Source organism: Homo sapiens, chromosome 2 (assembly GCF_000001405.40).
Source record: "Homo sapiens chromosome 2, GRCh38.p14 Primary Assembly".
NCBI classification, from domain to species: domain Eukaryota; kingdom Metazoa; phylum Chordata; class Mammalia; order Primates; family Hominidae; genus Homo; species Homo sapiens.
This window is the reverse complement of record NC_000002.12, coordinates 74,122,137-74,133,329: the sequence shown is the minus strand read 5'-3', so window position 1 is coordinate 74,133,329 and position 11,193 is coordinate 74,122,137. Positions and strand designations below refer to the sequence as shown.

At 47.2% G+C, this 11,193-nt stretch overlaps 1 protein-coding gene across 2 annotated transcripts in view, besides 2 other annotated features; it reads right to left on the bottom strand.

Moving 5' to 3' along the window:
- The window catches only part of TET3 (tet methylcytosine dioxygenase 3), a 151,868-nt gene that overhangs the window by 2,169 nt on the left and 138,506 nt on the right, over positions 1-11,193 (bottom strand). The gene's annotated exons all lie outside the window — the stretch shown is intronic.
- Positions 2,575-3,188: an enhancer, noted in NCBI's record as "H3K4me1 hESC enhancer chr2:74357269-74357882 (GRCh37/hg19 assembly coordinates)". NCBI's record gives its function as "activates a minimal SCP1, AML or CMV promoter by ChIP-STARR-seq in naive H9 embryonic stem cells {active_cell/tissue: H9 hESC(naive)}" and the evidence as "EXISTENCE:reporter gene assay evidence [ECO:0000049][PMID:30033119]".
- Positions 9,055-9,757: an enhancer, noted in NCBI's record as "H3K27ac hESC enhancer chr2:74350700-74351402 (GRCh37/hg19 assembly coordinates)". NCBI's record gives its function as "activates a minimal SCP1, AML or CMV promoter by ChIP-STARR-seq in primed H9 embryonic stem cells {active_cell/tissue: H9 hESC(primed)}" and the evidence as "EXISTENCE:reporter gene assay evidence [ECO:0000049][PMID:30033119]".

Here is an 11,193-nt window from a genome sequence, read left to right as displayed (position 1 = left end):
CCAGTGTTTGGGGTTACATTTTTATGCAGCAATTGATAATTAATATGTTTGTTCATTACTGAAGGAACACGGGGGACTCTCACTTATTGACAGACGGGTTGAAGAGCCAAACTTCGGGCTGGGCACGGTGGCTCACGCGCGTAATCCCAGCACTTTGGGAGGCTGAGGTGGGTGGATCACTTGAGGTCAGGAGTTCAAGACCAGCCTGGCCAACATGGTGAAACCTTGTCTCAACTAAAAAAAAAAAAAAAAAAAAATACAAAAATTAGCCAGGCATAGTGGCACATGCCTGTAGTCCCAGCTACTCGGGAGGCTGAGGCAGGAGAATCTCTCGAACCTGGGAAGCAGAGGCTTCAGTGAGCCAAGATCACGCTACTGCACTCCAGCCTGGATGACAGAGCCAGACTCCGTATCAAAAAGAAAAAAAGAACAAAAAAAAAGAAAAGAAAAAGAGCCAAATTGCAGAAAGGACACGGGTCCAGCTAAGAGTCAGGAACACCAGTGCCACTGGGTCTCCCCTTCATCTGCTGTCCCTTCCTCTCTACAGATCAGCTTTATTATCTCTCACTCTAGATTGGCATCTGCCATACAGTGGTGACTTGAATGCCAGTACCTCTTAATTTATATATTTTAATGTCCAGTTCAGCCAGATGTGGTGGCTCACATCTGTAATCCCAACACTTTGGGAGGCAGAGATGGGAGAATTGCTTGAGCCAAGGAGTTTGTGACCAGCCTGGGCAACAAGTAAGACACTGTTTCTACAAAAAATTAAAAAAATGCCAGTTGTGGTGACATGCACCTGTAGCCCTAGCAACTCTGGAGGCTGAGGCAGCAGGATCACTTGAGCCCAGGAGTTTGAGGCTGCAGTAAGCTGTGATTGTGTCATTGCACTCAGCCTGGATGGCACACAGTGAGGTCCTGTTCAGGCCGTGGGAAGAGCAGACTTTGTTTTCAAGTCCCCAGGACGGCCTCTGTTTGGCTCATCTTGAATTAGGAGCCACCTGGCCTAACGCGTTGTAAGAGCAAACTTTCTTTTGGAGTTCCCAGGAAGGGCTCTGATTGGCTCATCTTGAATTAGGAGCCACCTGGACTAACCAGGTGGGGTCCAGGGGGCATATAAAATTGCAGCCTCTAGCTGGACTCTGGCTTGAAGTGGAGAGAGAAGGCGTTACCAAAAGAAGAGGGGGTTCTATTCTTCAAAGAAGGGCTGGGACAAAGCAGCAGATGTTCTTGACTGGAGGAAAAGATAAGTGTGGCTTTGTGGGCCAAGCCGCCTAGGAACCTCCGGACACCAGAAGACAGGGGACTCTTCCTTCTGCTTCACCCCACCCGCAACCAGAGAACTCTTCGGGCTTGTGAAATGTGTAATCCCCTAAATGCTTCTAAATCTGGAAACAAATAGGGCCCCCCCACCCAGTTGTTCTTCCCCCCAAATTAAAAGGAAAGTTGGGAGAGGAATCACAGGTTTTTTTAATTGACGGATTAGAAAACGAGAAGAACGTGTTTAATCCCAGTGGCTAGAGTATAGCATTGCATCGGATGTAGCCACCTCCTAGCTTTTTGATTAAGTGTTGCTTGTGGAAAGTGCTAGGTTCACATGAGAGGTCTTCTGAGCTCAGTGTCGTTTTAAAAACAGTGTGCGGTTTTCCAGTGGAAAACCCAAAGTTCCCTGAGGTGCCGGCTGACTGGGCAAGTCAGTGTAGGGGAAACTGCCTGCTCCACAGCCCTCCCCTGGGCACATTTTGTTCCTGGGTTCCTGTAGTGCCCCTCAGCCCTGGTTAGACCACCTAACTAGCAGTGTAGGGGACAGGGTGGCCAGTAACCTGAGAGAGGACCTGAGGCTGCAAAGCCCCACCCAGACACAGACTGGTTAGGAGCCAATGGTTTCAATTCCCTTTCTTGGGAATCCAGAGTGGGAAAGGTGAGTGAATGACCCGCGGAGAGCCAGTCCACCGACCAGACAATGGCTGCTGGAGCGCTCAGGGCTAACGGACCTGCGAATCCAAATCGGGAAGTGCGGAGATAATGGACTGGAGAGGCCAAAGCTGAACAAATGGACTGAGAAGGTCATGAATGAAGGGTTGTGGCAAGAACGTGCTAAGAGAAAGCAGGCATTGAAGTAAAGAAGATACAGTGATTCCCATTCTGGCTGCAAATTCGAACCACCTGGAATAATTACAAATATCCCTTCCTGGGTCCCTGCCAGATTTAAGAGTCTCATTAGTGAGGGAACGGGAGAGCGGAGGCACCGAGACCAGGTAAGTCACCGTACAGGGGGACTCTCCTCTTTATCCCCTACCAGCCCCCTAGGCCTGCCCTGCCCACCGCAGTTCCCCTCCGTCCAACCCCTTTTCCCTCGATGGGGCTACTGCGTATCCATTAATTCACCTCGCCTCCACCCCCTCACCCATTTGCGGGGAACTGCCCCCCAACCCCTAATTCCGCGGGGTGAACAGCGGGAGCACTTCCAGGCAGCCAGAGCCCGGGCAGGCCCGACGTGGCCTGCGCGCAGAAGATGCCTGTCCTGCAAAATGGTCGCAGCCGGCAATTGTTTGTTAATCCTCTCATCAGAAAGCAGCCCGACGAGTCTGCGGTCCCTCAGGCCGGCTGTATCCACAGGGTGCACCCAAGCACAGAGAAGGTGGAGATGGAGGGACGGGAGGGGGTTCCGCTGCCCTCGATCCCCGGGTCCAGACGTTGTTGGAGAGCAGCAAGCGCGCCCTAGTCCGCGCTTCCTCGCCACGACTCTGCAAGAAATGTCTTACATAAGACACTCACTCTCGGTTCAAGTCCGCCAGCAGTGGCTTGTGAGCTCCAGCTGCCTTCTTCGGGCCACCAAAAGGAGCGCAACCCGCAGAGCGCGCACTCTTGCACGCTCACCGCCTCTCCACTCCCTGCCCAATCAGCCAACATTTGTACCTGCACTGGCGCTAATATTGCTGGTCGGGCTATGCTAGGAGTCAGCTCTACCCTTAGGCACCTCATTCCAGGAAGCTGACCTCATTTCTTAGCTCCTGGTAAGATACCCTGTGGCTGTGAACTTAAAAGAGCATTTGTGTAATTTATTTTTTCTGTAAGGAAAAGGTGTTTAGGGTGGCAGATGAGAGTACACCTAAAAGATGCCCGACGGGTTCTTTTCTTTTGCAATAAGACTAAGCAACCATAGTGACTATGGTCAAACAAAACTGTGAACCCAAGTGTCTATACTAAAGCCAACTTTTTTTTTTTTTTTTTTGAGACAGACTCTTGCTTTGTCTCCCAGGCTGGAATACAGTGGCACAATCTCCGCTCACTGCAACCTCTGCCTCCCGGGTACAAGCCATTCTCCTGCCTCAGCCTCCCAAGTAGTTGGTATTACAGGTGCCTGCCACCAAGCCCGGCTAATTTTTGTGTTTTTTAGTAGAGATGGGGTTTCACCATGTTGGCCAGGCTGGTCTCGAACTCCTGACCTCAGGTAATCCGTCCACCTCGGCCTCCCAAAGTGCTGGGATTATAGGCGTGAGCCACTGCACCTGGCCTAAAGCCAATAAAGCAGCCACCAGGGAATTCAGTGTGAGTGTAACAACAGACTCCTGCCTCTCTCTGGAAGATATAAAAACAAAAAAGTCATTGGGGGCACAAAAGATGATCACATAAAAGAGTAAAACAACTGATGTTCAAGTAATGCCCTTAAGGTTTTTTCAATTCATTTTTTTTTTTGAGACAGGGTCTTGCTCTGTCTCCCAGGCTGGAGCACAGTGGTGCGATCTTGGCTCACTATAGTCTGCCTGCTGGGTTCAAGCAATTCTCCCACCTCAGCCTCCTGAGTAGCTGGGATTACAGGTGCCTGCCACCACTCCTGGCTAATTTTTGCGTTTTTTGTAGAGACGAGGTTTCACCATGTTGGCCAGGCTGGTCTCAAACGCCTGACCTCAGGTGATCTGCCTGCCTCAGCCTCCCAAAGTGCTGGGATTACAGGCATGAGCCACTGTGCCCGGCCGGGTTTTTTTTTTTTTTTTTTTTTTTTTTTTTTTGAGACGGAGTTTCACTCTTGTTGTCCAGGCTGGAGTGCAATGGTGCAATCTCGGCTCACTGCAACCTCTGCCTCCCGGGTTCAAGAGATTCTCCTGCCTCAGCCTCCTGAGTAGCTGGGATTACAGGTATGAGCCATGAGCCACCATGCCCAGCTAAGTTTGTATTTTTAGTAGAGATGGGGTTTCTCCATGTTGGTCAGGCTGTTCTTAAACTCACGACCTCAGGTGATCTGCCTGCCTCAATCCCAGCACTAATCCCAAAGTGCTGGGATTATAGGTGTGAGCCATCATGCCCAGCCTTTTTTTTTTTTTTTTTTTTTTTTTAAATTGAGACAGGATCTCTGTCAACCAGTCTGAAGTGCAGTTGTGCATTCACAACTCACTGCAGCCTTGACTTCTGGGGCTCAGCTGATCCTCCCACCTCAGCCTCCCAAGTAGCTGGGAGTATAGGTGTGCACCACCATGCCTGGCTATTTTATTGTTGTTGTTGTTGTTGTTGTAGAGTTGAGGTCTTACTATGTTGCCCAGGCTGGTCAAATTTCTGCCCTCAAGTGATCTTCCTGCCTTGGCCTCCCAAAGTCTTGGGATTACAAGCATAAGCCCAGCCTTTTTTTTTTTCTAATAGTCTTTATTATTTTTTTATAGTCTTTATTGTTTTAGAACAGTTCTACATTTACAGAAAAATTTTGAAGATAGTGGAGTTCCCATATGTCCCACATCCAGTTTCCCTGATTATTCACATCTTACGTTAGTATGGGGCATTTGTTACAATGAATTTGTTACACTATTATTAAGGAGAGCCCATACTTTATTCAAGTTTCCTTAGTCTTCCCTTAATGTCTTTTTTCTAGGTAGCCCCTCCATGAAACCAGATTACATTTAGTCATCATGTCCCCTTGGCTCCTCCTGGCGGTGGCAGTTTCTCCGATTTTCCTTATTTTTGGTAAGCCTTAGTCCATATAAATATATTCTGGGGGAATTATAGATGGGTTTGACAGAAAGCAATTTTAAAAACAAAAACTACAAAAGAAGAAAGTCACAATCAATTGATTAGTTGAAAGTTACTCTATTCCAAACATCTTGGCAAACATTAAATAATCACATTTCAGAAACTACACCAAGCGAAAAAAAAAATGCCTTGAGTTATGGACATCAGGAAGCAGTAGCTTTGCACAAAAAGGATGGGTTTAAGGAGAACACTGTTTGAGGTGAGGTTTGGTAGATTTACAAACAAGGTTAGAGAAGGCTTCTATACACACATTATTAACCTGTGACATTAAATATATCTCTAAAACTTTATAACTTTTCCTTTTATTTAACAGAACTGTTGGAAGAAAACAAACAATATTTTGACTAGAAATGGAAATTCCTGATGCTTTGGGAATTGTTTCAGTACTTTTTCTAATACTTTAGGCATTGACTAGAAGAACTGAGACTAGAAAATACTCTTGCCTGTTTAGTCAGTATCACGTATCTTCATCTGTTTGTTGTCGCTGCTGAAGCACACACTTAAAATAATCATCATACATTTATGCACACAACCCCTTCTCCCGTGCCCTATACAAACCTATTAAGCTATTTTTCCGAATCAAATTTGCACAACTTTAAAGAAAAAAAAAAAACCTCACAGAATAATGTGTTTTTCAAGGCAGGCATTTTAAAAGCTAATCCCAACTTGCCCCGTTTTAGGCTTTTACAGTGTTTAACTTGCTTTCTTGGGTAGTTAGTCTGGAAATGAGTTCATCATCTGATATAGGATGGCTGGATTTTAATATTTTCTGTCTCCAATTCGTTTGGTTAAATGCCTAAAGCTGGTAGTCTACTAGTGCTGAAGGAAGAGGGGAAGCATTTATGGCTCATTAGAACCAATCCCCATGGTTTCCAGGTCAGCTGATTTTCTCACTACAATACTTAACAGCAAGATGAGAGGCTTTATTAACATCATGTCAATAAAGCCATTAATAATTCAGAAGAAATTTTAATTACAAACTTAAAAGAATTACATAGTTGTAAATTAGTCTGTCACTAAGTAAAGACTACTACATTTCACTTTGGGAGACCTTGTAAAATGTAAGCTAACTCATTGCTGGAACCTTGAAACAGAGGTCATCCGGATCAACAAGCATGAGTCCGTCCCTTCTGCCAGCTTCTGATCCCCTCATTTGAGTTTATGAGATGAGCCAATAATGAATGTAGAGGCAAGCAGCTCATTTTTCTACCTAAAACTAAGTCTCAGCCTGACACTTTTCTTCTGACCCAGTTACAGCTGCTTCTCTGGTGTGTGCTTCAATCCTCTTCACTGGGCACCATTAAACACTGGACTTGGTAGCTGTCTATGCATGTGACCAATTTCACTATCCATCTTCTGGCTTCAGTGCCAATTTTAAGAATGCTAATTCCTACGTGGCCAGATTTCTATAAAGATGGCAAATTATTTTATTCTGGCTAAAATTAATCATATTATTAATATTTTCTAAAGTTAGCGTTTACATTTACTGCTTTAAAAAAATTCCAGGCTGGGTGTGGTGGCTCACGCCTGTAATCCCAGCACTTTGGGAGGCCGAGGCAGGTGGATCATGAGGTCAGGAGATTGAGACCATGCTGGCTAACACGATGAAACCCCGTCTCTACTGAAAAAATACAAAAAATTAGCCGGGAGTGGTGGCGGGTGCCTGTAGTCCCAGCTACGTGGGACACTGAGGCAGGAGAATGGTGTGAACCCGGGAGGCGGAGCTTGCAGTGAGCAGAGATGCACCACTGCACTCCAGCCTGGGTGACAGAGCAAGACTCCATCTCAAAAAAAAAAAAAAAAAAAATCCAGCAAATATAAAATTTAGGCCTAAAAGATGCCAATGATTTAAAACTCTACACAGATCTAAGATCAATGCCTATGTATGAGTGTAGCTACTGCCACGAGGCATTCTACTCATAGCCAGCCTAGGAAAGTGTGAGCTGAATACAGGTCCTATGCCAAAAAACCTCTGCCTGAAACAGAACTACAGACGTGAGAAGCATTAATAGATGTGCACTGTATTTATATAAGCTTCTCTTTTCAGCATTAAAACAGCTGATCTACTGTGTCAATCTGGTAGAGATCAGTTGGTGCCATATATAAAAACCAACAGGTTAACTGACCAAATTTCTCCAGATTTCAATTGGCTCTATGGGATCAAATAGACATGATAGGTTAATTATGATGAAAACAATAATCTTAACCATGTTTAAGAAAAAATACAAAATTTTAGTGCAAGTACTTATTTACTTCTGTACTCAAAAAGGGTGAGAATCCCAGCTACTCAGAGGCTGAGGTGGTTGGATCACCTGAGCCACAAGTTCAAGACCAGCCTGGACAATATAGCAAGACCCTTGCCTCAAAGAAAATTGAGATTTTAAATTTTGTTTGTGATTTTCTCTAAGTGAATAATGGTAAAATTTAACAAACTAGCATAGTTCAATTTACTGAGCTACAAAGTATAACATTCAGCTGGGCATGGTGGCTCATGCCTGTAATCCCAACACTTTAGGGGGCTGAGGCAAGAGGATTGCTTGAGGCTAGGGGTTTGAGACCAGCCTGGGCAACACAGTGAGACCTCATCTCTATAAAGTTAAAAAAAAAAAAAATTTTAGCATACTTTAATTTATGGCAGGTACTATATATGAGAGCTGAAGTCTTCTGTACCTCCACAATGCCACACTTCTTATTCACAAAGGATGGTTAGAAGCTAGAATACAACTTTTTTGTTATTTATAAATGCTGCCAAAAGAAGAAATGTTTATGGAATTTCAAATGACACAGTTGTAAATTGGCAGTTAGCAGCTTTCCATGTAAAGCTTCATCTCAGCATGAAAAACTTGATTATAGTCAAAACTAGCCAAGGAAAACTCAAGTGTATGATGCCTAAAAGTCTACTGTGTGGCTGTCTGAAAACGTGTATTGTACCATGGTGTTATCCATCCAGCCAGGCTTTTGAAGCTATCTGTAAGAGTCATGTTGTAGGGAGAAACAGCGCCACAATTAAAAAATAATCCAAGTGAGGCCAGGTGCAGTGGCTCACGCCTGTAATCCCAGCACTTTGGGAGGCCGAGGCAGGCAGATCACCTGAGGTCAGGAGTTCGAGAACAGCCTGGCCAACATGGTGAAACCCTGTCTCTGCAGGTGGCAGGCACCTGTAATCCCAGCTACTCAGGAGGCTGAGGGAGGAGAATCACTTGAACCCAGGAGGCAGAGGATGCAGTGAGCTGAGATTGCACCATTGCACCCCAGCCTGGGTGACAGAGTGAGACTCCATCTCAAAAAAAAAAAGAAAAAAAATTCCGAGTAGTATTAAATATACATGTTAGCACCTTTTTTTTTTTTTTAGTTTTTAACCTTTTTCTTTTTTTTTTTTAGTATTTATTGATCATTCTTGGGTGTTTCTCGGAGAGGGGGATTTGGCAGGGTCATAGGACAATAGTGGAGGGAAGGTCAGCAGATAAACATGTGAACAAGGGTCTCTGGTTTTCCTAGACAGAGGACCCTGCGGCCTTCCGCAGTGTTTGTGTCCCTGGGTACTTGAGATTAGGGAGTGGTGATGACTCTTAACGAGCATGCTGCCTTCAAGCATCTATTTAACAAAGCACATCTTGCACCGCCCTTAATCCATTTAACCCTGAGTGGACACAGCACATGTTTCAGAGAGCACGGGGTTGGGGGTAAGGTTATAGATTAACAGCATCCCAAGGCAGAAGAATTTTTCTTAGTACAGAACAAAATGGAGTCTCCCATGTCTACTTTCTACACCTACACAGTAACAATCTGATCTCTTTTCCCCACATTTCCCCCTTTTCTATTCAACAAAACCGCCATCGTCATCGTGGCCAGTTCTCAATGAGCTGTTGGGTACACCTCCCAGACGGGGTGGCGGCTGGGCAGAGGCGCCCCCCACCTCCCAGACGGGGCAGTGGCCGGGCAGAGGCGACCCTCACCTCCCGGACGGGGCGGCTGGCCGGGCAGGGGCTGACCCCCCACCTCCCTCCCAGACGGGGTGGCTGGCTGGGCGGGGGCTGACCCCCCACCTCCCTCCCGGACGGGGCGGCTGGCTGGGCGGGGGCTGACCCCCCCACCTCCCTCCCGGATGGGGTGGCTGGCCGGGCGGGGGCTGCCCCCCACCTCCCTCCCAGATGGGGCGGCTGGCGGGGCGGGGGCTGCCCCCCACCTCCTGGACCGGGCAGCTGCTGGGCGGAGGGGCTCCTCACTTCGCAGATGGGGCGGCTGCCGGGCGGAGGGGCTCCTCACTTCCCAGACGGGGTGGCTGCCGGGCGGAGGGGCTCCTCACTTCTCAGACGGGGCGGCCGGGCAGAGACGCTCCTCACCTCCCAGATGGGGTGGCAGTCGGGCAGAGACGCTCCTCAGTTCCCAGACGAGGTCGCGGCCTGGCAGAGGCGCTCCTCACATCCCAGACGGGGCGGCGGGGCAGAGGCGCTCCCCACATCTCAGACGATGGGCGGCCGGGCAGAGACACTCCTCACTTCCTAGACGGGATGGCGGCCGGGAAGAGGCGCTCCTCACTTCCCAGACTGGGCAGCCGGTCAGAAGGGCTCCTCACATCCCTGACGATGGGCGGCCAGGCAGAAAAACGCTCCTCACTTCCCAGACGGGGTGGTGGCCGGGCAGAGGCTGCAACCTCGGCACTTTGGGAGGCCAAGGCAGGCGGCTGGGAGGTGGAGGTTGTAGCGAGCCGAGATCACGCCACTGCACTCCAGCCTTTCCTGATTTCCCACTCCTCTCTGGGGTTACCGAATCCCTCCTGCACGCCCCTGCCCTGGCTGGCGTGTTTCTTGGTCGGTTCCGCCCACAGGCCGGGTCCAGTTTTTTGTATTTTTAGTAGAGACAGGGTTTCACCATGTTAGCCAGGATGGTGTTGATCTCCTGAACTCGTGATCCGCCCGCCTTGGCCTCCCAAAGTGCTGGGATTACAGGCGTGAGCCAGCGCGTGTGGCCTATTTATTTATTCATTGAGACAGAGTCTCGCTCCGTCGCTCAGGCTGGAGTGGAGTGGTGTGATCTTGGCTCACTGCCATCTTTGCCGCCTGAATTCAAGCGATTTGACATGTTAGCACCTTTGGCATTTTAGTCCAAATCAATGTTGACAAAGTAGGGACTTAACTCTTTTCATCTTCATTTTTCCAAAAGCAGATTCACGCAGCACCTTCATTTTCCTCTATAATATACAATATTTTTGCTTCAACTATTGAAATGATTCCTTCATTCTGAACTTCAAACATGTAGAGGGTTTTCCAAGTCCCTAAGGCAGGAAGCAGTTCCTTATCAAATTCATTATCAAGGCTGGGTGTGGTTTCTCATGCCTGTAATCTCAGCACTCTGGGAGGCCAAGGTGGGTGGATCGTTTGAGCCCAGGAGTTCAAGGCCAGCCTGGGCAAAATTGTGAAATCCCATCTCTATAAAAAATACAAAAATTAGGCTGGCCACGGTGGCTCATGCCTGTAATCCCAGCATTTTGGGAGGCTGAGGCAGGCCGATCACAGGGTCAGGAGATCAAGACCATCCTGGCCAACAAGGTGAAACCCCATCTCCATAAAAAATAAAAACATTAGCTGGGTGTGGCGGCATGTGGCAAAAAAAAAAAAAAAAAAAAAAAAGCTAGGTGTAGTGGCACATGCCTTTAGTCCCAGCTACTTGGGAGGCTGAGGTAGGAGAACAGCTTGAGCCTGGGAGGTCGAGGCTACAGTAAGCCATGATCGAGCCACTGCACTCCAGCCTGGGTAACAGAGCAAGACTATCTCAAAAAAAAAAAAAAAAAAAAAATATATATATATATATATATATGTATGTATTTATATATACACACACACACACACATATATATATTTCACTATCAAAATCCACAACCAGAACTCCTCACCCCACTTTCTTGACTGGCTCCTCTATGTAACTGCCTTCTGAGTCCTTCCAGTCTTGTGCAAACCTCTCTGGGATTTTGGATTGGGTTTTTGTACATTCCACTCTGTTGTCAGGCCTGTTCACTTGATTGTGTGAGCCTGCCTTCAACCTCAGGCAGCTAGACTTCAAATTTCTGGGCCTCTTGTTTTTCTATATTTTTGTCTGAATTTTGTTAATTTGTGACTCAAACTGGCTGTATCTCCCATTTGAAGATTTCTTTTGTACATGTTTTTCATTTTT